We start from the raw sequence: 26,814 nt of genomic DNA, 5'->3' as shown, positions 1-26,814 counted from the left end.
CCCCAGGGAAGGGCACGGAAAAGTGGGGGGAGGGAGGCTGGCAAAGGCGAGCAAGAACACAGACATTCCCTCATTGCCGGCTCCAGGCTCTGTGTCACCTTCCTGCTACTTTGAGACACATGAGCAGTGATACAGAGGCTACTTTCCCTCATAACCCCAACTTTAATGTATAGACACAATCATTGTACTATGACCACTTGGAGCTGCTTTCATACACTGGGTTTTTCTGATGAAAGATTGTTTGATGTTAGCATAGTACCTTCAAAAAAAGGAGTTGGGTCTTTTTGCTATTCCTTATGAAAATTCACTACTACAGAAAAAGCAACTAGCAGGAATACTTAATGTCTTTTTATATTCAAGATGTTTCTCATACATATATATATATATATATATATATATACACATATATATAAAATGCCAGAGGGGAGAAAAATTATCTCTTCTAAGTAAAATACATCTGTTCAGTTGGCCTTTTCCATTATAGCCATCAATAGCTTGTTACCCCTGGGCATACAGCAGTCAATATCTTTAGCTTGTTTTCAAAGTAAAATATCAGGCAATGCCCAGGCAAAAAAAAAATCTCACTGCTTACTCACCATGTAAGTGAAATGTTGCTTGCCTTTCAGTGATCAAATACAGTGAAACCATGTCCCAATCTCTCTACATCCAAAGCTCCAAGGCATGTAAAAAAGCTCTGGCTAGAAACCCCAAGTTGTGCTATGGTTGTGAAAGACATAAATACACAAATGGCCAACAAGCATAAGAAAAGAGGTTTGATATCACCAGTTATCAGGGCAATGCAAATCAAAATCCCAGTGAGATATCACCTCACACCAGTGGATGGCAACTATTTAAACAAACACACACGCCTGTAATCCCAGAACTTTGGGTGGATCACCTGAGGTCAGGAATTCAAGACCAGCCTGGCCAACATGGTGAAACCCCTTCTCTGCTAAAATTACAAAAAATTAGCCAGGCATGGTGGAGGGCACCTGTAATCCTAGCTACCCGGGAGGCTGAGGCAGGAGAATCACTTAAACTCAGAAGGCAGAGGTTGTAGCGAGTGGAGATCGCACTATTGCACTCCAACCTGGGCAACAAGAGCAAAACTCCATCTCAAAAATAAAAATAAAAATACACAGAAAATAACAAGTGTTGGCAAGGATGTGAAGAAATTAGAACTCTTGTGTTCTGTTTGTGGGATTGCAAGTGTGGCCATTATGGAAACGGTATGGAGGTTCTTCAAAAAATTAAATATGGAATTACCATATAATCCAACAATCCCACTTTTGGAGATTTTATATATATATATATATAATTTATATATATAGACACACTCATAAAAATATTTATACATATAAAATATATAGGATCTCAAGGAGATATTTGCACATTCTTGTTCATTGCAGCATTATTCACAATATTTATAATAACCAAAAGGTGGAGCAGCCTCAATGTCCATCAACACATGAATGGATAAAGAAAATGTGGGAGGGATGTGTGTGTGTCAGTGTGTGTGTACACCTACGTACAGTGGAATTTCTTTTTTCTTCAACTTTTAAGTTCAGGGTCCATGTGCAGGATGTGCAGGTTTGTTATGCAGGTAAACATGTGCCATGGTGGTTTGCTGCACAGATCACCCCATCACCTAGGTATTAAGCCCAGCATCCCTTAGCTGTTCTTCCTGATGCTCTCCTTCCCCCCAAGCCCTGACAGGCCCCAGTGTGTGTTGTTCCCCCCTCAATTTGTCCATGTGTTCTCACCATTCAGCTCCCATTTATAGTGAGAAGATGCAGTGTTTGGTTTTCTGTACCTGTGTCAGTTTGCTGAGGATAATGGCTCCCAGCTCCAACCATGTTTCTGCAAAGGACATGATCTTGTTCCTTTTATGGCTGCATAGTATTCCATGGTACATATGTACCACATTTTCTTTATCCAGTCTATCATTGATGGGCATTTAGGCTGATTCCATGTCTTTAGTATTGTAAATAGTGCTGCAGTAAACATATGCATCCATATATCTTTATAATAGAATGATTTATATTCCTTTGGGTATATACCCAGTAATGGGATTGCTGGGTCAAATGGTATTACAATGGAATATTATTTAGCCTTAAAAAAGAAGGAAATCCTGTCATCTGCTACAACATGAATGAACCTTGAGGACATTATGGGAAGTGAAATAAGCCAGTCACAAAAAGATGAATACTGCATGATTCCACTTACATGAGGCATCTAAAGTAGTCAGGCTCTTAGAAACAGGACATAGAACGTGGTTGCCAGGGGCTGGGGAGGAGGGAAAGGGTGAGTTCAATGGATATAGAGTTTCAGTTTTGCAAGATGAACTTTTAGGGATCTGTTACACATAACACTACTGTACTGCACACTTACAAATGGTTAAGATGGTAAGTTTTATGTTTTTTACCACAATAATTAAAAAAAAGACACTGCCACACAGGAGCTCCAGCAGCCCTAAGCCTTCAGCGGAGGTTACTTCAGAGGATTGCCCCCCTTCCTGAGCTTCATTTGATACATTATGCAGCCTTCAGGACAATTAGATAAGAGGTGCTGAGTTTCTTAAAGGAGCAATCAGTAGGAGCCAGGCAGCTCATTATCATAAGGTTGGCATTATCATCAGTTCACTCTCTAGTTATCAGGTTTTTGTTCAGCTTCTGTTTTTGCTGCTATTGTTTTGGGTCCTGCCCCTGATTGATTTTGGAAGGAGGACTCTACCAGGGGCAGTAAGGAAGTAGAACTGCATGTATAGAAAAGGAGGTTCCAGGGTCTGGGAGGTGTCGGTGGTTTATTTATATTCCTTTGTACCCCACCTCTTTTCACGATGACTTATTATAGACAGTAGCCCAGGTTCAGTAGGGAGGAAGAATATCAATTGTCTTGACAGCCACTCTAGGTAGGAGCTTGCAAAACAGACAAATACTAATAGAACACAATCCTGATTCTGACTCAGAAGCACACTGACAAGGGAAAAGCGTTTCCATTCATCTTCACTGGGAGCTGCAAGTGGCAGGCTAAGGCACTCCCTATGGGGATAGGTAATGTAAATGTAAACATTGCAAGGTTATTTAGTATTGCAAAATGTGACATGAAGATCATGGCTTTCTTTTTGCCTTTCTGTGACCTTGTCTCTCAGGAAATTTTTACTAGGTTATTATCTTATCTGTTTCACAGTTCCAAAGCACTAGATCTATTATTTGCAAGCATGATTGTGCCCAGAGCCTCATGTTTAACACTGGATAGAAAATGCAAATCAAAATCACAATGAGGTATCACCTCACACCAGTGGATGTCACCTATTTAAAAAAAACACACGCCTGTAATCCCAGCACTTTGGGAGGCCAAGGCAGGCCTACATTGTGTGAATGAATGAAATAAGGTTAAGAAATAAGAAAAAGAAATAAGGTTAAGGTCAACCATAGTGGCTCACACCTGTAATCCCAGCACTTTGGGAGGCCAAGGTAGGAAGATCGCTTGAGCCCAGGAATTCCAGACCAGCCTGGCCAACGTAGTGGGACCCTGTATCTACAAAAAATACAAAGATTAACCAGGCTTGGTGGTGCATGCCTGTAATCCCAGCTACTCAGGAGGTTGAGGAACGCTTGAGCCCACAAGGTTGAGGCTGCAGTGAGCCGTGATTGCACCACTGCACTCCAGCCTGGGTGACAGAGAGCAAGACCCTGTCTCAAAACAGAAAAAAAAAAATTAAGTGAAATAGCAAGTCAGGTCCTTCCCTCCAGAAGGTTATGGTCTTTCAGGAAAAAAAAAAAAAAGTATGCCTATGAATGAAGGGGCTTAAATAATCGTTACATAAGAATATAATACATACACACACCCATGTGAAGGAGAATGTCCGTAGAGTGAGATGGAGGCTTTTTAAAGACAGAATTCCTGCCTCTCCAGTCTTCAGCATCCCAGAATAAAAATTATATCCCTTTAGGCCAGGCGCAGTGTCTCACGCCTGTAATCCCAGCACTTTGGGAGCCTGAGGTAGGCGGATCATGAGGTCAGGATTTCAAGACCAGCCTGACCAACATGGTGAAACCCCATCTCTACTAAAAATACAAAAATTTGCCAGGCGTGGTGATGCACACTTGTAGTCGCAGCTACTCAGGAGGCTGAGGCAGGAGAATAGCTGGAACCCAGGAGGCAGAGCTTGCAGTGAGCTGAGATCACACCACTGCACTCCAACCTGGGCGACAGATCGAGACCACATCTCAAAAAAATAAAATAAAATAAAATATGTGTATTGCTGTGTAAAGTGAGTCCATTTTGAGAAAGAACTACCATATCTAACTGAAAGGCCTGGTTTCCTCCACTTATAAAGAGAAGGTACAAAATAAACTCAATCCATAAAAGAAAGTGGTATTGGATCCAGCAGATTCTGAGGTAGATCTCGGGGGAGTACAAGTGTGCTTGAAAAATCAAAAGGCTGGAACTAAGCCTTTAATACCTCACAGCAAGCTGGAGGTTCAGTTTGGACTGCTGAACAGAATGCAACAAAATCCAGTCAATTATTTTCACCTCTATAGCCCAGCAAAGAGTAAACAATTTTTCAGCTGAAATTTTTTCTCACTTCGCGTTTTTGTCATCCTTCTCTACCTGATCGTTCCTTAATCCACCCACCCCAATAAATGGGCACTTCTACTTTGAAACAGGGAAAGATGGACTCACAGTTGGGGATTGGAGCTTATGAGAATGGGAAAAGACAGCCAGAAACCATCTGGTCCTGCCAGAGACCTCAGAAGAGAAAATAAAGGAAAGGTGTTTATGTTTTTCTGAATTTCTGGTTAGTAGATTACTCCAGAGAGAAGCATTTAGAAGCTTTGGCCTCACTTTTTGACCTTCAAATATATGCATATTCCCATGGCAGGAGCATAGCCAGTCTGTCCACACAGGTCCTCACCCCCTTGGGGCCAATCTGACAAGGAGAGGGGAAGGAGGGACAGAGAACGGCCCCTCCCGCTGAATTCCCTGCACCCTCAGACAGGGGACAACACAGTCCTGGGACAGCTTCTATATTAAGGGTCTCCTCACCTACACATCTGACAAAGCTCTTTGAAAGACTAATGTTCTAAAACTCCTAGGACAGACATTTTAAAAGGATGTATTTAAAATCTCAATTTTGAAAACGTTCCTACTGCCATTCTGCAAGTAGCGTTAGTTCTCAAATGATGCTCTAATGGGCTCTCTTTTTAGGTAACTTTTCTGATTTTAACAAAATACTGCATGTTAATTATAGAATACCTCAAAAACAGAAAATAATCAAAAGAGGTAAAATAATTCTCTTTTTAAAAATGTAACCATTTTATTTTGAAACCTGCTTTTTTTATTTGACAATATTTCGACTACTTTTCCATGATATAAATATCCTTCTATACCTTGTTTTTACTGGCTGCTCAGCATTTAGTTCTATACATTTATCATTTAAGCAGTCTCCTATTGGGATGATCATTCTTTAATTTTAATTTTCTAATTTTTCCACTACTTTAAAAAAATCCTACCAAAAAAAAAAATCCTTGAAGCTGTATCTTCCCATATATATCCTTGATTATTTCCTCAGGGTAACTTTGAAGAGCAAAACCAGTGGGTCAGTGTACCTGCATTCTTATAGGGGGTCAGTTCTGGTTGTCATATATAACCAGCTTTGGGAGCCACTCTTGGGTGATAAAGTAAATTATTAAAGTATTTTTTTCCCCAGTAGCCAAGCATTTATGAGCTCTGGCAGGGGCCGTGTGATATAATGAAAAGTCCCCATTGCTGAGAGTAAGCAATGGTCCAGGATGCCTGGCTGCCCCTTTGTCTTAGTTTGTTTTGTTGCTATAAAAGGAATCCTGAGGATGGGTCATTTATAAAGCAGAGGGATTTATTTGGCTCGTGGTTCTGCAGGCTGTGGAGCATGGCACCAGCATCTGCCTCTGGTGAGGGCTTCAGGCGGCTTCCACTCCTGGCGGAAGGTGTAGAGAAACTGTGCAGCAGTCACGTGGTGAGAGAGGAAGCAAGAAAGAGGAGGGGGTGCCAGGCTCTTTCCAACAACTCGTTCCCCAGGAAACCAAGAAGGAGAACTCAGTCCCATGAGGACGGCAGCAGGCCATTCAGAGCGAGCCACACCAATGACCCAAACACCTCCCAGGCCCTACCTCCAACACTGGGGATCAAATTTCAGCATGAGGTTTGGAGGGTCAAAAATCCAAACTAACAGCTGGCACAGTAGCTCACACCTCCAACACTTGGGAGGCCAGGGTGAGTGGATCGCTGAAGCTCCGGAATTCAAGACCAGTCTGGGCAGCATGGCAAAACTCCATCTCCACAAAATATACAAAAATTAGCCAAGTGTGGTGGTGTGTGCCATAGTCCCAGCTACTTGGGAGGCTGAGGCAGCAGGATTGCTTGAGCCCAGGCAGTGAGCTCTGATGCTGCCATTGCCCTCCAGCCTGGGTAACACAGCAAGATCTTGTCTTAAAAAAAAAAAAAAAAAGGCTGGGTATGGTGGCTCACACCTGCAATTCCAGCACAATGGGAGGTCAAGGCAGGTGGATGACTTGAGGCCAGGGGTTCAAGACCAGCCTGGCCAACATGGTGAAATCCTATCTTTACTAAAAATACAAAAATTAGCCGGGCATGGTGGTGCATGCCTATAGTCCCAGCTATTTGGGAGGCTGAGGCACGAGAATCACTTGAACACAGGAGGCAGAGGTTGCAGTGAGCCAAGATCGCGCCACTGCACTCCAGCCTGGGCAACAGAGCCAGACTCTGTCTCAAATATGTATCTCCAAACTATAGCATCTCCACACCCAGCAAAGCCCTGACCTCATGGAAATGGCTACGCAATGGCTGCACTGTGAATTCTCAAACCTCTCCTCAAGCTCTAACACAAGAAGACTCCCTTCAAAATTGAAAAAGACAGTGAGGACCAACAATTGCATAACATTTATGTATATGTACAGTTTGTTTTATTTTTATTGCTCCTTCCATTTTCTTCAGTTTGTTTTTAAACAGCAGTAACAATATTTCTCAGAAACAGAGGGCTGTGTACAACCTCGTAACACACTTTCTTGACAGTTTAAAAAAATCATCGGCCCTCTCCAGCACCTCGGAGCTTGCCTGCATCTGTGTACTGTATTTCTTTGGGGAAGAGCAATTAGTCAAGAGAAGGCTGAAGCCCATGACATCTTTGACATGACTATGGCTTTCTTCTGAAATGTGATGGGCCATAAGAGCTTTTCAGACATTTCTCTGAGAATAAATGCCAGGCAGGCTTCATTTGCTAGTGACAGAACTGACCTATGGCACACTAAACAGTGACTAATCCGCAGAATCAAAACAGGTCAATGCTCCAGGTGGGGGTTGGCCTTTGCCAGGAGACCACTAGCTTCTGGCTCCAGAGGTATCACTGGGCAAGGTGGAGAGTTGTGTGGCCTGTTCCTATTAACTGAGTGTGAAAGTGCTTCAACAGGGGGTTGCTGCTGAGTTAGTGATAGTAGAGGGAGCCAGTAGAGCCCGTTAGTTATCACTCTTCCTGGTAAGAATGCCTTTGCCTGCAAATATGTGCTGTTTCATTAAGAAAGTCCTCATAAAATGATGTTTTCAGGCAGAATGAGAACTAGAGCAGACAGGCCCCCGAGAATGCCTTAAGTCAGATAAAGATAGATCAGGCCCATGAGAGAATGATCACCACCTTGTAGCTCAGAAATCTGAGACACAAACAGCATTTCTGACCAGCCTAACCTGCAAACCTGAGAGAGAAACAAACGTTTCAATTCCCCTGCTTTCTCTCTAATCATACAATATTCTCAGCTGAACAGCAGTAGCCTTTGCTAAATCCTCTTGTGTCATTTAGATGCTGTTCAAAGCAGACGTCCCAGGCATGTTTAGAAAGTGTCTTGTGTGACCACCTTGACTGAGTTGAGAATATTTATTCCTAGTCAATGTTCACTTTAAATAGCCATCTTCTCTCTTTTTTTGTAATACTGACTTAATTTGAAGAGCCTATGGTGTGGAAAAATGAGACTAAATAAATAAATTACAATTCTGGTCAATCACATTGGCCTAAAACCATCAGGCAATTTAAATATGAGATCCCTAAGGTTCAGACAGGTTTACAGCCAAGGGTAAAAACTATTCAAGGACAAAATTGAGTATGAAAATGTGTTATATAAACACAGATGTAACACTTAATACATACGTAATAGCTAGCAAAACGAGTTGAGGAAACTTTTAGATGAGAAAAATAGAAAATCTGGACCATCTACCAGGTGAATTTTCTCTGTTGTGAACGATTTATTGACCTTTTACGTAAGTATCATACAGCTCTCATTATCAGTCCCAATGTATGAAATGGTTATTAGAAAAGAGAAATAGTGGCATATTTCATAGGCCAAAGGACCATAAGATGTTAGAGTGAGCATTTCATTGCCACGAGTACAAATGTGTGGAAAATTACAGATATCAATTCTGAAGTTCATCGGTGTTCAGTGAGACCCTGAAAACCTGGCATTCTCATTTGCCCCTTCTGAACTAAATAAGAAAACGTTGCAACATCTCTGCAATGTTTTAAAAGAATCATTGCATCGATGGTTTTGCTCTGCCAGGTATACTGTTACAGGATGTCGTCTGTTACAAGGATACAGTCTCGTCAACTGTATTCTTGGAACTGATGGGTTTTGTTTATCAAGTTCACATAGATCCCACCACCCACATACACAACTAGAAGTGGAGAAAAGGTGTTAAAGGCTGTTAGGGGTTCTACCGCGAGCCACTTAAAAAAAACATCATAGGACTGCAATTCTGTCTGCAACCATTTGTTATAGGCAAGAGCAGATTACAAGAGTAACTACCGAGCTCTCAGCCATGATTTGCAGTGGAAGAATGGCTGAGAGAGGAATTAAGCGGAATGGCTGAGCAGTACAATAGACATCAGCCAAGGTAGGAGCACTAAGTAAAATGTCTAGAAGGAAAAAACTTCAACTCTGGGCCTTAGCCCTAACTGCTCTGAGCCAAAGATGAATTTAAGCTCCTCTTATTCCTCATCTTTACACTTGTTTTTAGCTTGCAATAGCCATTTCCTGGGAGAAGCACTTTACTAATGAGACTGGTAATGTGGTGGAAATTATGAGATGCCGTCTCGTCTTTTATTTCACAATGTCTCTTTCTCATCATGTCCTGTCCTTTAAACAAAAGCAGCATGTCTTAAGTCTGAGGGTAAAAAGAAAGAATAAATTAACATTAATTTTGAAGTCTTTTTTTTTTTTTTTTGAGGTGGAGTCTCACTCTGTTGCGCAGGCTGGAGTGCAGTGGTGCAATCTCAGTTCACTGCAACCTCTGCCTCCCGGGTTCAAGCGATTCCCCTGCCTCAGCCTCCCAAGTAGCTGGGATTACAGGCGCACGCCACCACGCCCGGCTAATTTTTTTTGTATTTTAGTAGAGACGGGTTTCACCATGTTGGCCAGGATGGTCTCGATCTCCTGTCCTTGTGATCCACCCGCCTCAGCCTCCCAAAGTGCTGGGATTACAGGCATGAGCCGCCGCACACAGCCAGAAGTCATTTCTTAAAATTATCCAGCTTTCCTTATATTCATTGGAAATCTCCCAGAATGTCTTAAAACTAAGACCAGAAATTGATGGAACTGCTTATGTTTCAGGCTTATCCTTAGGTGGAAGCCCTGGGACAAACCACTTCCCTGACCCAAAAACAGTATGAAGTGAAAGTCCAGCTTATACAAATATGAGACTGAGGAGAAATATTATAGGAAGAAAAAAACTGGAGGAAAATCTAAATTAAGAGAGTTCTTTTTAGGGGGGTAGTGAGAAATACCACCCAGATCATACATTTTTATATATTATCCAAATTGCTTCTGATATTTTAGTAATCGGTGGAGGGGGGCATTGGCGGGGACTGTTTTTAATGAGCGTGAGGAACAACGAGGAAGAAGGTGAGAGAGTGACTCCAACTGACACATCCATTGTGACAGTCATATGTAGAGATATGCATATGTGAAAATACAGATTCTATTCACAGGACCTCAGTACTAGGGGAGTCACTGTTTTCTCCACTGGAGCGTTCTTCCTAAGACACTATCCCTTCAAGTGTAAAAAGCAAAGCAATAAACCCAATTTAACATACCCTGCATATAGAAGACAAGCCAGTGAGGACATCATAATGTCCATTTGGTTGCCATTTAATTTCAGAGTCTCCATTCCAAAATGTCACCTGGGCAAGACTTTCTCTTAAATTGATTCATTCCTCAAATCCACAAAGCTTTTGGTACAAGGCACTTACTTTGGCACTGTTAGGAATGGAAAGATTAATAAGCCACAGCTGTTATCTGATAGGCAAAGCCAACACAATCCTATCAGCAAGTAAACTTCAGCCAACACGTGCTCAGAAGAGGGAAAAGTGCATTTTCTCTGTGAGCTTATCAAGGAGGACTGCAAGAATATGGCGGCATCTGAGCTGAGCTGGGTTTTAGGAGGCAGAGAGGCAGTGGGGCAATCCAGTCATAGGCAAAATCAACGCAAGCAAGGGCTTGGGGCTGAAGCATGGAAAGGAGTGTGACTGGAATGTAAGGTGTCTTCCCAAGAGACGGTGGGAGGCAGACAAGGCCCACAGTGCAGGCCCAGGCCATCCACAGAGGCAAGACAGAGCGGGCAGTCAGAGCAGTGGGGCAACAAAGGAGTTCCTGGAGCTGGGGGCCACAAGGACAATATTGCAGCCATGGCAGTGTTGCAGGTGAGCAGAGACAAAGGCCTCCACCAGGGTGGGAGTGGAAAATCAGGCAGAGACACAGGAGCTGCAGTTACCAGATTAAGGGAAAACAGAGGAGGACAAACCCTGAGGCTTGGCTCCTGAGTTACTGCTGGCAGAGGAGAGATGTGGGGGTGTAAGAAGACAGCAGGTTTAGGACAAAGGACAAGGTCATCATTAGAAAATCCAAGAAGGCTCGGCGGCCTTCTAAAAGGCAACAGGCTACCATGTGGAATCTAGGCTGGTGCAATTACAGGCTCACCAGGAGATGATTCTGTTCATTTTCTCCTCCCCAGGCAGTTCCATGCCAGACTTCCCCAGACAGCTGACCAAATACATATCTAGGAAAGAAGATTCCACTGACACCCACTCCCCATTTTATTTGCCTTCAAGGGAGAATTTATTTGTGAATAATCTAAATCATCCTCCCCCAGTCTCTGTTTCTTTCCTATTAAGATGATGCACAGAGAGCACAGAACCCCCATCGTCATCCTGTGGTTCTCTAAGAAGTGCTCATTCTGTCTAGTCAGTATCAAAACTGTTACATCCGGTTGATGTGGGTTTGGACTCTATAGAGATCAATAAGGAATTACCTAGTTATTTAGCTAGTGATACAAAATGTCCATAAGCTACTTTATATTGCCAATTAATATATTTAATATTTAATGTTATAAACCAACATGTAATATATGACTTTTAAATTATTCAGTCCATATATGTTTTCATTAGGGAAGAACATTTTATTCGCATACTTATGATACCATCTCAAGACTTAATATGGCTTAATTCTATTAATAAAAACTAATTTAAAAGTCATTATCTTTTTTAATTACAGCTTTTGATTTAGTTCTTCCCTGATCTGCAAATAAGGGTAGCTAGAGCCATCATTCAATTGGTCCATAACTAACGCTGGGTTTTTTTTTAGAGCTATCATGAGTTGCTTGGTAGAGGACGTTGATTAAAAGGAGTGTCCTCATAGGTCACACATGCAGCCCCATGACTTGGCCATATCTCACCTTGTCAGAGCTCTATGCAGATATTTATTCTCAAATGGATCTGTTAGTGAATTCTATTCCATGGTCAAATCTTTAGCTTGCAGAAGCCATGTTGAAGGTAATTCAACATGTGTGGTCAGCAGTCTCACCTATGATGATGACCCAGATTTTCACTGGGTGTGATACTGGACACATTCCTTTGTTTTTTTTTTGTTTTTTTTTGAGACAGAGTCTCGCTCTGTTACCCAGGTTGGAGAGCAGTGGTTCAATCTTGTCTCAACACAATCTCCACCTCCCGGGCTCAAGCGATTCTGCTGCCTCAGCCTCCAGAGTAGCTGGGATTACACATGCCCACCAACATGCCTGGTTAATTTTTTTTTTTTTTTTTTTAGTAGAGACAGGGTTTCACCACTTTGACCAGGCTGGTCTCAAACTCCTGACCTCAAGTGATCCACCCACCTTGGCCTCCCAAAGTGCTGGGATGACAGGCATGAGCCACCGTGCCTGGCCCACATTCCTATTTCTGGTCCTTTTAGGCCCCAGAGAAAGCGGGATTCCTTCCCTTGGTATTAAGTTCCTAACTCTCCTGAATTTCTCAACTGTGTGTTCATCATTCAAGTTCTGCCAGGTCTGAGACACCGGAAACCATCTAGTTCTTAAGCTTGGCATTGACGGGAAGGATGCAAGGCCACTGAATGTCCAATAGAGCAAGTATCACAAGGTTTATATATTAGTACTTAGTATAGGATGGCTGCTGGCAGGGAAAAGTTAAGGGACAGAGAATGGAGATGAAATGTAACATCTCCCATCCGGAGTATGGGTTCTGTGGGATAAGGCTATAAAGCACCCTGCATGCATGCTCTTTACTAAGAGAACTGTACATAATTGTAAAGGAAATTGGAGTCAGGCTCTGATTAAGTGAATCTTCAGATCTCAGATGAAGGCAAAGAGGGCTTGTCTCACATATAAACATAACCATAAAATTGTTGACTGGAACTGAAAAGGCTCATGAAAACGCCATCATTATTCAGCTTCTTTTTCTCAAAGATGTATTTCTGAGGGACTTTTCTATATCTTTATATCGCTCAGTATGTAATTCTATTAAAGTGCTTAACACATTGTATCATATTTATTTCTTCAGGTATTCTTTTCCTTTCCCTAGAATGTGAGCTGCTCAAGGTCATGAAGAGAAGTGTTTCTAAATTCATTTTCATATTCCCAATGGCTAGCACATTGCTCTAACTTAAGGATATGGATAGGTCACCCAGTGTTTGACGAAATGAGTGAATGGATGAATGAATAACAAAACTAAAAAAAATAAGACCCCAACCAAAGATCATTAAATGGCTGTTGCTGTCCTCCTATATACCTATGTCTCTACAATTTAAGTACATCCTTAGATTTATTATTGGTTTTGATTTTGTTTTATTTATTTTATTATTTATTTATTTATTTTTTGAGACCAAGTCTCGCTCTATCGCCAGGCTAGAGTTCAGTGGTGCGATCTCGGCTCACTGCAACCTCTGCCTCCTGGGTTCAAGCAATTCTCCTGCCTCAGCCTCCCAAGTAGCTGGGACTACAGGCATGTGCCACCACGCCCGACTAATTTTTGTATTTCTAGTAGAGACGGGGTTTCACCGTGTTGGCCAGGATGGTCTCTATCTCTTGACCTCGTGATCCACCCGCCTTGGCCTTCCAAAGTGCTGGGATTACAGGTGTGAGCCGCCGCACCCGGCCACATCCTTAGATTTCTGAGACAGACTTATCAAATAAAGTCTCTTGAGTCCTAAGTTTCTATTCACATTTGGCCTTTATTCCCATTCTTAGCAAAAGGTAACACTGAGATTCTATGAAAGGCCAGCTTAACTTTGCCACTCATTCCATCTCTCAGTGGGAGCCAACTGCGTGTGCACACGTGCACACACACACACACACACACACACACGGTACATTAGCCTCACAAGGCACTGACTTTGTCTATCTTGTTGATCATTGTATCCTGACCATCTACCAAGTCCCCAAAAATATGTGTCAACTGAAAAAATGAATTAAGGATTTCACAGTGTACTGTCGTACTAACCAGTCTTCCATACTGCTGTGAAAAAGAAAAAGAACAAAAAGCTATACTAAAACTCCACATTGATTCAAAGTGATTTGCTAGTGTTCAGCAAAAGGAGAATCTAGAGTCTGCAGATGTGTTAATGCCATCGTGGGTGGCCCTTACACCTCTATCATTCTGTCTCTGGAATGGCAGTAATTGCAACTGACCTGTCTTCCTCATAGCTATGTTGGAGAGAGGAAAAGAAAGATCTCTTCTCTAGTCCTATACAGACATACACACATGCCTCTATTAGTTAAAGCAGCCATATGTCTACTTAGAAATAATGGATGACAAACTTAAAAAGTGAGAGAATGCTATAGGAACTCTCGGTTCTGAAAAGGAAACATTAATGGTACCGTAAATTTTGGAGTTGGGGGAGTCACATTATTTTAATGAACATTTCTCATAAAATAATAGAATAATGATGTCCTCCTCATAATAGAAGTGCAAGTTATAACACAAATTATCCCCATTGGTTTTTCATTTACCTTTAATCATGCTACCCTGGGAAAATAGAGGAGTAAAGAGAATTAGCTTGAACCTGAAAGATTTCTACTCTAGTAACTGGCCCAATCCATTAATTGTCACTATTCTTTTTTGCATTTGCTTTAGGTGAAAGTCTGGCAAAAATCAAACTTAGTAAAACTAGTAATTATACCAAAAATACATTAGTTCTCAGTTTGTTAGTTTTTGAGGCTGAAACTTACACCTCTTAAGGTTTATAATTATTTCCCCTCAGTAAATTGTGGATTCCTGTGTTCTAGGGAAAGGCATTGCCAAAAATAAAGTGCAAGCTGCTTAATCTTCACTCTTTCCTAAGCAAACGACGATGTGAAAAGTTGACCGTGAAGACATTGTCTGTACATCCGTTAAAATTTCTTTGACTCGCTCGACTCATTCAAGCTTAAAGGCTAAAAAAGAAGAAGGCACTGACAGGCCTTCCTCTGGGACTCTCTGAATCCCAAATCCAGCTTTGTCAGTTATTTCAAGTGGATATAAATGGAGATTTTGGCCAATCCTTTCCAGCCCCAGAGGTCAAGGGAGCAGCTGCACTTCTAAAAATTAATCTAAAACTATGTTCCCAACAAAACTTTCTCTTGACCTTTAAGGCTGATAGGAAGCTCCAGAGTATTATACAAACTGGCTACGCAGGTATTTTCCCACCCCCTACTCCACCTGCCACACGCAGAAACAATGGGACCATTCAGCTCACCTAGGACATGATCCAAGGCCCTTTGTATCAATTTTAGTTACCAAAAGATGGCTCAAAAAAAACACTATTTTTATGAGTTAAGCCTCTTCTTGTCAGGTGTTATAGGTAAGAAAAGTAATATCCCACTCTATATGCATATTAAATAATGCTGTTATCTAATTATTTCACACAGGCAGCTTTGTGAAGAAGGCAAGGGAAGTAGTTAACATTTAACATTTAGGAAAACTGAGGCTGTGGCTTGCCCAAGGTCACACAGCTAGGAAGCAACAGACAGTGTACTTGAACCTGTCCTCTGACTCCAAACGATAATGTTCTTTCTCCTATGTTGTGCCCTGCTGATCTGATTCAAAAGGTTTAAGGGGATGTTGGTGTATCCCGGCATATTGTATATATTGATGTACTGATGAAGCCCTGAGTCGTGGGGTCTGGCAATTGTATCAGTCAGCTGCATTTGGCATCCCCAGATGTCCCCAGCTCTGATACTCCAAATCTAGATAAAGCTTATTTATCGGGAGTAATTCCAAGAGATTCAGTCCAGTCCGAGGCCTTCAGAGCACCTCCAGAAGGTTAGGTCTTTTTTGGCAGGCCAAATGATAACAAGAGCATTTACTTCTTATTAACAATGTGCCTGGCACACTAAGTTATTGAGCCCATTGAAACCTCACAACAACTATGAGGTAGGTACTCTACTCACTCACATTTTGCTAATAAGAAAACCAAGGCTTAGAGCATTTCAGGTGACCTGCTTGGTCAGGGAGCACGATCAAGGACTAGAAGCTGGGCAGTTTGACTTCACAGGCCAGACTTAAACCCTGTACTACAATAGCCCAGAGGAGTTCACGCCCTCTTGATCAGCCTATAACCCTCCAGACACTCCCAAAATTCAACCAGACTCCAAGCCATTACACAGAATGTTGTCTTACAAAGTAGCAGCCCACCCATGTTGGCTCAAAACCTATAATGTTTGCCAGAATCAGAAAGAGCTGCCATGTTAGCATTTTAAGATTATCATATCGTTCCTCTTTGGGTAACTCATCAAAGCATGTAAGCTTAGCCAAAGAACATATTCCTCAACCACTGGGCACCTGAACAAAGACCCCATGACCCTGACTCTTTGGAGTCAACAGCAAACCTCTTCAAGGACCTTCCTTTATTAATCAAGGAAGAAAGGGTAAAGTAAATAACACTACTGATTTGAGATCAGAAGGAGCAATTTAGGCCCATGTCTCATGTCTCCTGTACTCATGGATGCTCTCAGTATCCATGTTAATGGAACCATCTTTCAGCCTTAGAAAGTGGACCACAGTGAAGGGAGCAGCTCTGCCAGTCCGCAATGCGGCAGACCCCTGTGTCTATCACAGGGCGGGTTGTGGGGGGTCCCAGCTGCTCATTTCCTCCATGCCAAACCTCTTCACCTCTCCCAGACAGCAGCCTCACTTGTAGGAGTAGGGTTCTGTCAGTCTTTTCCAGCAGGAAGGCCTACTTAAAGAAGGTCCATTCAATGAACTATTCACTCAGAGGACAGAGCAGGGCATCAAGTCTGGTAGGTTCTGGCCACAGCCCACCAACTGGCATTCAGGAAGCTGACTTTCCAGCCTTTTGTTTTGGTTTTGTTTTGTTTTGCTTTTTGTTTTTGAAACAGCGTCTCACTCTGTCACCCATGCTGGAGTACAGTGGTGCAATCATGTCTCGCTGTAGCCTCCCACTCCTAGGCTCAAGCAATCCTCCCACCTCATTCTCCCTAGTAGCTAGGAGTACAAGCACGCACTACCACACCCAGCTAATTTTTGTACTTTTGTAGAGTCAGAATCTTGCTATGTTGCCCAGGGTGGTCTCAAACTCCTGGGCTCAAGAGATCCTCCCACCTTGGGCTCCCAGAGTGTTGGGATTACAGGCGTAAGCCACCACACCTGGTGCCTTTCCAGGTGATAGGAGCCTGAGAGAGCAGCCTTGCAGCAAGCTGACTAGAGGTTGCAAAGCTCCTAACCTCAAGAATTTCCTACTATGTCTTTCATTCAACCAAACTCGTATCTCTATTTTGAAAGAATCCTTTCTGTGTGTTTGTGTTTGGCTGTCTAAGTATCCCAACCCAAGGAGCCTCCAGAGGCTTCTTGTGCAGTGTCTGAGGCTGAAGGAGCCTTCCATCGCATACTGCAGTCTCAGGTAGCTGGAATGAGTGGTGGATTTGTTTCTTTCCACAGAGACTCACATTAAAGCACACAGACTTCAGGTGAGAAGAATCAGATGTGGTCTTTGGTACTAAAGGAGCCTGAGTTAGTTTCAATCTTTCCCCATCAACACGCCACGAGCATTCAACAAAGTGCTGGTGGAGGGTCAAAGGATGCACAAGCGGGCAGTGAGATTTCTCTGGACAGCAGCAGGCACCTTTGAGGCTACTCCAGAATGATCTAGCCGCCTTGGAAGGATGACTTACCGAAAGGCCTCTCAAACGATTAACAGCTCCAGTTAGCCCCTTAATGGTTGTCATTTATTTCCGTGCCAGTCAACAATCATTCCTGAGTTGAGCCGTAATGAATAGAGAATGATGTAAATGTGTAGGCAGACTTCACGAGGGTTTAGACGTCTCCGTGGGAGGTGTAACGTCATCCCGATTGCCACCTGACCTGACTCAGGGCTGTCTCCAAGGCGAGGTGACCTGCCCCGGGTGCGGTTCCCAGAAGTCATCCCGCGCTTCCAGAGCTGAGCCCCGCTGCTCTACGTCTACCTGCGGGATCCTCAGGATCCCCTCATTCCCAGTCGAGGGACCACCACCTGAACCCGTGTGGGGTGACCTTACCCACCCAGGGAAGGTTGAGAAAGGGGTGGAATCGGGCGCCCCCTTCCTGACCCTGGGCTGAGCCGGGCAGGGTAGAGAACGCGGCGAGAAGGGAACCCGCGGGAATGTGAGGCTGCGGCACGACCAGGGGCCGCCAGGGGGCGCCCGTCCTCCTTCCCGCCTGTGCCTCCCCTCATCCTCGCTCTGCTTGGACAGAGGGTGGGGAAGACTAGAATTCAGCTCTCACTCCGGCCCGCCTGCAAGGTGATCCAAAGGAAGTCGCTTACCCTCCTGGCATTTCCCTTTGGAAAAGACATACAAAAATAGTCCCCACCCACAAGCCCCAGAGGGGCGCCCCAAGAGCACAACGAGCTGTCTCAGGAATGCTCTGGCAATAGCAGCCTATTTGCACGAATTATTATTACTAATAATGTCTTCCTTGTTCAAGTCAAACAGACATCTGTATGAGCACAGTTGCACGTATGCTAGGAGCTGCCCTCTAAGTGACTCTACCCACACATTACTGTGAGGATTAACCTCCCAAGCTGCAGAATGAATGGTATTAGCAGGTTGCTAGGAGGTTCATCTCGCAAAACTGCAGAGATCCGCCTGGGTCTATAGACTTCAAGACTGAGCCAGAATGAAGCAAGTCTATTGCCCTGGAATAACTCCCCACATTTTTCAAGCAATTTCTCCAATTGCTTTGTTTCGAGCACCTTTGAATTCCTCTAGCATAATCACTCTACCCTTTGTCAACACAAAATGATTGTTTAAACGACTCAATCAGATCATGCCATGGGCGACTATTTCCATTTATTATGATTTATTCCCTGTTTAGCACCAATGTGCCAGGCACATTCAACAGAACCGCCTCTAAAATGGTTTTTCTTTCTGCTCTGAAGGCCCACAGAATAAAAACAACCTGCTCAGGGTAAAGGAAAGATCATCCACACTGATGAGGATCAGTGACTAAGGACATCTTGGAAAGAAGGTCTAATTTTCCAAATGATAAAGAACAAGACTTTTTCATTGTGATGGGTACTCCTATTGACCTAGAGCACAAAGTAAATTGATTAAAGACAGAGAATTCCAGGTTTTCCACCAGGCGGGGAAGAGATTTGTCATGAATAAACCAAAGTCACAGACTCTCTCTTGAAGGCAGGAATCTGGTATTCTTAGTCTTTGGTCCCCAGAACCAGCCCCACACTGGCACCTTTAGGCACTGAATAAATGCTTATTTAATTGATTAATTCAGGTGTGAGAGATCACATCTACAATTTAGAGAATTGAGATTTTTTTAACCCAGTTTTTCAAAGAAGAGCCTGTATAATTTCAATTCTTCCCTCAGCTTATTGCCAGTCAAAGAGAGAGAGGAAGGGCCAGGTACTTGGCTGCAGTGTCTGAACCAGCTGCAAATCTCAGGAATGTGTTACCTGGATAAACAGGCTCTAAGATGTTCTTTATAACAACAGCAACTAACTTACTAACTTAAAAAAAAAATCCTCTAAGTGAATATTAGACACCCATTAGAATCACTTGTGAAAACTTAAAAACACTATTAACGTATTATTTAGATACCCTCTCTGGAATCATAGTTATGGCAGTCCAGGTGTTGTTGTCCTGTCCTGGCTATGCCGGTAACGTGACGTGAGTTTGGCTCAGTGAAAACGCCCACGAACTTAACTAAACCAACAGGCACTGTGAGGGTTTGAAAACAAAAACTGGCCTGTGAAGCATAGAATTTCTCATTCTTCCTGCAACTATCATTCACTTCAGTGTCCTGGTTGAAGCTCTTCTTTCTTTCCTCAACTTCAGTTCACCTGCCTCCCACAGTTTACAAAGTGAACTCACAGGCTAAATTGTGACTTTAGAGCCATCTTGAACTTCAACCCGCATGTGAATCCCTGGGGAGCCTGTTAAAATGCAGATTCAGATTCAGTGGGTCTAGGTGGGGAGTCTGCATTTCTAGCAAGTTCTCAGGTGATGTGGTCCACAGAGGACACTTTGAGTGGCAAGGATATAGAAATTCATACAAATTTTTTCCTGCAAATTTTACAAAGCATGTGATAGCCTTAAATTTTTTGCATTTAACAATACAATACTACAATAAAATTAAAGTTAATTAAAAAGTAAAACATCAAGTTAGTGTTTCATATGAATACATTACAGGTGCAGATCCTGATCTAGTTACATATATGTGAAATATACACATACGCCATATTCATCTGAAAAATTAAGGTGGCTCCACTTTCAAGAAAGGGGAATGAGTGATCTCTGATTTCATTCTTCATTCAATTAATATTTACTGAACACTTAACATGTGCCCAGCACTGTGTTAGGGGCTGAAATTGCAACAGTGAACAAGACAGATCCCAGTCCCTTTCTAACAGAATTTATAGTCTAGTAAAGGGAGACACACTTACAAAAAAAGAGCGAACACAAATTATAGTAAATGTTGTAAAAGAAACGAAGAAGGAACTAAGAAAATAACCACTTGGGACAAGGTGGGAAGAGAGGCCTCTCTGAGTAGGTGACGCTGATGGCCAAAGATCTAATCCTGACATGTCTACTCCTGTGAAGAGACAAAGCGCTGAGTTTTTAGACTCCAGACGTGCACACAGCCCAGGAACTAGTTCCTACTGCTTCAGCAAAGGTACTGAACGAAAGAAATGGGGACCATTCTACAGCAGGTCCACCAACATAAATCCTCTCCCCTCAGCTCTGAGATCTTTTTTCAGCCATCCTTTGGCTCCCCCTCCCTGGGGTGCTGCACTGACACTCTCTGCAGGGGTTGCTGACACAGGAGGGTTTTTCCACATTTGCATCACACACCTATAAAAATTCAAGGCTTGATAAACCACCATCTGTAAGGATAGTCAAATTGCTTCTTGTTTTTCTTTCCAGCTCAATTTTATTTCTGACAAAGTGGCTCCAATGAAAAAACTTATCTTGCGCTAAAATGAAATTAAGCCTGCTTGAAATCGGCCATTATATATGAGCCCTAAATGCTACACAAATTGACACCAATCAGTTTGTTTTTAGGAAGGAATTCTGGGACTGTTCGCAGAAATAAAAATTCATAGGCAGGCTTTATCAACACCGATGAGGGCTCAGATGGTTCCAAATAGTCTCATCTTTTGTTCTTTATTATCACAGCAGGAAAGATGCAGGGGTCTTTCACAACACAGGAGTAGAAAGGAAAGGTTTTCTGCATCCTCAGCTGCCTTATGGAGAAAGAAGCCTGCAGTAACCAGGAGCTTGCAGCTGGAGCTAAGGACATCATAGGCCCTCCACCACTCCACCCCCACCCTAAGTTCAAAGAGGGGCCTGTGACCCCAATTGCGCTAGGTACACCCAGAGCCACTGTCTGCCCAACGCTCATGTTAATCAGCCCCTGCTTGCCTTTAGGAGAGCTCCTTTTACCTGGATGCCTTGGGGGCACTGGTTCTTGCACAGGGGGGTTATCCAGGTGGCAGATCTACCAGGTTCTCTGTTCATCCTTCTCTAGGGCTATTGCTCTACTCATAGCATCTTCTGCAGGATATATGGGAAAGAAGTGATACACCTACACCTCTCCTTTTCTCTCCTTACAGGAGCTTAAGATAAAAGTTACCTAAAGAGGCCAAGCATGGTGGCTCACACCTATAATCTCAGCACTTTGGGAGGCCAAAGAGGGTGGATTGCTTGAGATCAGGAGTTCAAGACCAGCCTGGGCAACATGGAGAAACCCCTTCTCTACAAAAAATACAAAAATTAGCTGGGCCTGGCAGACACCTGTGGTCCCAGCTATTCAGGAGGCTGAGGTGGGAGGACTGCTTGAGCCCAGGAGATTGAGGCTGCAGTGAGCTATGATCACTACTGTACTCCAGCCTAGGCAACGGAGCAAGACCCTGTCTTAAAAAAAAAACTAAAAAGTTATCTAAAGGGGATAAAACTGGACAATCTCTGGATGAGCCACTTAACTTCTATGAACCTCTGTTTCTTCATCTGTGTAATAAAAACAGCAGCAGTATCTACTTCTTAGGTTTGTTATGAAACTTAAATGACAGAACGCATGCACAGCATTGAGTATGAAGAGAAAGCGCCTAGTGAATGTTAGCTGGTTTTTTTACCATCATTATTATTATTATTTACAAGTGCTTACTATATGCCAAAAACCATGTTAGATGCTCATTTAATTTTTATGAAAATTTGCATAATTTTAATTTTTTAACAGTCTTTGGGATAGATATTATATCACTTATGATTGGAGAAGTTAAGTAATTTGCACAAAGCCACACAGCTGTTCAGTAGTGAAGCTAAGATCTATATCTACACTGCCTCACTCTAGATTTCAATTCTTTCCTATCCCTGGCATTTGTCGATGCTGACATAACAAAGTCAGCTACTGAAGTGGAATTCATTCAATAGGTAATCCACCTCAGGTTGCTACTGGCAAAAATTTGGATAATATGCCTTAAAAAATACACACACACACGCAGACACACACACACAAACGTGCATTTGCCAATACCTGATGAAAAATGCTTTGAAATGTGAGACTTTAAAATAATATTCACCACATTGTATTCTTATTGTTTTTAAAGTAAAATTAAATTTAACACAAATTTACTGTTGGGCAAAACTTTTTGGAAGGCACTACTAACAACGAAGCTTTAGAATACAGTTTCTGTCTTCAAGGAATAAATCATTTAATTGTGAAAGAAGGACATAAAAAGGAGAGTAAACACATGAAGAAGTAAGGGATAGACTAAGGGTTTACTACAATAAAGTAAAAAAAAAAAAAACATTCAGGCCATGATTAGATGTCAAATAAGAGGGTGTATTTTAGGAAGCAGAATACAGGCTGGGCTGAAGAGTGGAAGCCAGTGGCCAGATGGCCTGATAGGATGATGCTGTAACATCTCACTTTAAGGAAACAAGGGCTGAAGTCAACCTCGGGAGAGTGGGAATGAACCCGAGAGACGTTCTGAAAAAACACTGAGGGAACTTATTGACTGATTATATAGAGAGATTAAGGGAAAGGAAGAGGTTAAAGGAGATTTCAGAATCCCCACACTGGGCAGGTCCAAACCTGCTTGTTCAATCTGTTCCCAATCTCCGCTATGGCATCACCATCCACCATCACACAAGCTGGAGCCCTGAGGCTCTCTTGGGACCCCTCGTTCACTCACTCCTACCTCCACGCACCTCCTCAGTCCTGCTGTTTCTCTCCTCCGCCACCTCCACACATCTCAGTCCTATTTCTCGCCTCCGCTACCTTCCAAAGCTGATCCCTCCCTCTCTGCTTTGTCCCGCCCCGTCCCATCTCTCACCTGCACAGCAGCCCTGCCGGCCACCGTGGCTCCTCATCTCATCTCAAGGCCGCATCAGCACCCATGCCAGGGATCTAACACACACCTCTGATGCCCAGGCTTCAAACCCTCCAGTGTGTCTCCAGCACCTGCACAGTGGACGCCTTAGTCCTGTGTATGTCCCGCAAATGCAGAAGCGCATCATGGCTTCCCCTGCTTCACGCCACACCTCACATCCTGTGTTTCAACTACAGAATCCATGTGGAGTCCCCCCAAATACCACGCAGGAGGCACAGAACTTGAACAGGTGAATGAATGAGTGGATGTAAGACTGTAGGAAAGTCAGAATTATATGGCTGATTCTAGAAAATAATGAAAAGCTTAGTTTGGGTGTATAAAAGTGAGATATTTCGGCCGGGCACGGTGGCTCATGCCTGTAATCCCAGCACTTTGGGACGCCAAGGCAGGTGGATCACTTGAGGTCAAGAGTTCAAGACCAGCCTGGCCAACATGGTGAAACCCTGTCTCTACTAAAAATACAAAAATTAGCCAGGCGTGGTGGTGCACAACTGTAGTACCAGCTACTAGGGAGGCTGAGGCAGGAGAACTGCTTGAACCCGGGAGGCAGAGGTTGCAGTGAGGCAAGATCACGCTACTGCACTCCAGCCTGGGTGACAGAGCGAGACTCCATCTAAAAAATAAAATAAAATAAAATAAACTGAGATATTTGGTTTTTTCCTCTTTTCAAGGTAGGCAAGAGCTGGAAGTGCTTCAAAGTAGAAGGGAAGGGACCACTTGAAAGAATGGCTGGTTATTAAAGAAATAGGGAATGATTCTGCTGCTTATAATAAAATTATGATCAGCTAGTTTTCACCTAATGACCATTTCCTCAGGGAGGCCTCCCTGAACCCCTAAATGAGAGTACCTCCTCCATTAAATGCTTCTGTAGCACCTTTCGTCTTTTTTCCCCCCAACTTTCTAATCATCACATTTGAAGTCACTTGTTCTATGTCTACCTCCTATAACAAGCTCCTTAAGGGCATGTCACTTTGTCATAACAAATTAAACTTCAAACACAGCACCTGGCACAAAGTAGATGTTCGATATTCATTAGCCACAAAATTAGTAGAATTTCTTCACCCTAAGAGTGAGCGTGCTTCTACTTGTCAATACAAATAATATAGAAATTTGCTGATAAAAGAACCTAAAACACCACAATAAGTTGTAATCCACATGTAGTTTATTTGTTGGTATTCTGGGTTGACTCATCTGTTTAGGTAAGACGGAGGGATTGAGCATCACTCTCCTGCTTAAAAAATCTCACTGGCAGCCCATTGTCTACAGGGTGAGGGTCCCACTCCTTGGTTGGCACACAGGGTTCTCCACAAATTGCCTTCTGAGCTTCCACCTCTTCCACCACCATCCCATGCACCCCTCCCCCTTCCCACAGCAGCCCACTGAGCTCGGCCCTTGTTGACCCCACTTTCTGGGATACTCTTCCCTACTCTCTGCATCTAGCAGACTCTTATTCTCCCTTCAAACTCAAACTCACACTTTCCCTAAGGCCCATATACAGAACAATCTGTTCTCTTCCCACCCACTCCACAGCACTCTGTACTTCCCTCTAGAAGTCTAGAAATTTGAAATAGTACCATGAGTTCCCTGAAGGCACTAACTGTGTCTTGTTCTTCTTTACTTCTCCAGTGCCTTGCACAAGCCTGTATAAAAATTAGTAGTTTCTTTTTTCTTTTTTTTTTTTTTTTTTTTGAGACAAGCTCTTACTGTGTTGCTCAGGCTAGAGTGCAGTGGCATGATCATGGCTCACTGCACCCTTGATCTCCTGGACTCATGTGATCCTCCCACCTCAACCTCCCAAGTAGCTGGGACTACAGACACCCACCACCGCACCCAGCTAATTTATTTTTTGTAGCGATAGGGTCTTGCTATGTTGCCCAGACTGGTGTTTTCTAGTGAACAAATACAAAACTCCGGGTCCTCCTTGACTGCTGTCTTTCCTCACACCCCACATTCAATCCATCAGCAGGTCCACTCTAGTCTATCTTCAAAAAGATATCCTGAATCCAACCCCTTCTCACTACCTCCATCACGATCACCCACATCCAAGCTACCATCATGTCTTGCCCGAGCTACCACAATGGCCTCCAGACTGCTGTTCTTGATTCCACCTGCAATCTATTTTGCACACAGCAGCCGTGTTTGGCCTTTTAAAATACCATTTCTCTGCTTGAAACCATCCAGTGGCTTCCATCACACTTGGAATAAAATCCAGACTCTCTCTTGAAGCCCTATATGATCTCACACTTCCTTCTACCTCCCAGTCCTCTTGTCATTCCTTGAACATGTCAAGCCCTCTCTCATCAGGATCTTTGCACTGTCTGTTACATTTGCCTAGTCTGTTCTTAGCCCAAGAATCCAAATGACTTTCTCCTCCTCTGCATTCAAATCCCTGCTTAATATCACCTTCCCTGATGAGCTTATCTAAAACAACACCCACCACTTTCTATCTCCTTAACTTACCTTATTTTTCTTCATTGCACCAATCCATATCAGACTTTCTATTATCACCTATTTGTATATTAATCTTTGGTCTCTTCCAGTTTGATAGTAAGGTCCATGGAGACAGAAATATTGCTTTCTTCACAGGCATATTTTCAGTGCATAGACCTGTACAACACAAAAAGTAGATGCTGAATAAATAGTTGTTGGCTAGGCACAATGGCTTAAACATGTAATCCCAGCACTTTGGGAGGCCAAGGAAGGCAGATCATTTGAGCCCCGAAGTTCAAGACCATCCTGGGCAACATGACGAAACCCCATCTCTACAAAAAATACAGAAGCTACCCAGGTGTGTTGGCGCATACCTGTAATCCCAGCTACTCGGGAGGCTGAGGCAGGAGGATTGCTTGAACCTAGGAGGTTGAGACTGCAGTGAGTGGAAATTGTGCCACTGCACTGCAGCCTGGGTGACTAAAGAAAGAAATAGTATTTGTTGAATAAAGCAGCTGGGTATTGGGTTCTAATGTAGAAAGATATGAATGAGAAGAAAGGGTTTTGAAAGATAAAGCTGAGTACAGAAAAAAATGTAGCAAGGATATCCTTGCTGAAATACAATAACACAATTGGACAGCTCCAGGCACAGGGGCTCTATTTTCACTAATTCATTTTCTTTTTAAACAGCCGGAATTGTAAAAAAAAAAAAAAAAAAAAAAGTGGGGGGGCTTTGTCCCCTGGGGACACACTGTTGGGGATATAGTTGCACATCACTTATGAGGCCTTAGTCTAGAAGTGAACTAATCTTATGCCCAAGCCCTGCACATAAACGGTTTACAGAGGAGACGAAGAGATCAGGAGGAAGATCATGAATACCCCAGAAGGTATAGATTTAGCTGGAGCCCAAGAATATCCTCTGAGTAATTCATTTCCACTTCTTCCATCTTTGGCAAGATGTGGCTATTATCGGTTTCCATCATCTCTCCCGTGACATAAGTACTTTTTGATTAATTATTCTCATCCCTTTTCTCAGCTCTCTGCCACTTCAGACAGGGCTGTATTTCTGTGAAGAAGAAGAACACGATTCTAGAAAAGCTTTGAGATTAAAGATGCCTTCTAAAGATTAAAGTAAAACCTCTTTAATTCAGATTCTTCTAACTCTACG

The 26,814-nt window shown here is 43.0% G+C and overlaps 1 protein-coding gene across 15 annotated transcripts in view, besides 2 other annotated features; it reads left to right on the top strand.

The window, feature by feature from the left end:
* Positions 1–26,814, top strand: part of MAGI2 (membrane associated guanylate kinase, WW and PDZ domain containing 2) — a 1,436,613-nt gene that overhangs the window by 1,395,290 nt on the left and 14,509 nt on the right. The window lies entirely within an intron of this gene.
* Positions 10,144–10,644: an enhancer, noted in NCBI's record as "H3K4me1 hESC enhancer chr7:77677051-77677551 (GRCh37/hg19 assembly coordinates)". NCBI's record gives its function as "activates a minimal SCP1, AML or CMV promoter by ChIP-STARR-seq in naive H9 embryonic stem cells {active_cell/tissue: H9 hESC(naive)}" and the evidence as "EXISTENCE:reporter gene assay evidence [ECO:0000049][PMID:30033119]".
* Positions 18,005–18,084: a silencer, noted in NCBI's record as "silent region_18333". NCBI's record gives its function as "represses an Ori minimal core promoter by ATAC-STARR-seq in GM12878 lymphoblastoid cells {active_cell/tissue: GM12878}" and the evidence as "EXISTENCE:reporter gene assay evidence [ECO:0000049][PMID:35858748]".

The sequence above is a fragment of the Homo sapiens genome, chromosome 7 (assembly GCF_000001405.40).
Source record: "Homo sapiens chromosome 7, GRCh38.p14 Primary Assembly".
NCBI classification, from domain to species: Eukaryota; Metazoa; Chordata; class Mammalia; order Primates; family Hominidae; genus Homo; species Homo sapiens.
The sequence above is the reverse complement of the archived record's forward strand: the minus strand, read 5'-3'. Positions and strand labels throughout refer to the sequence as shown.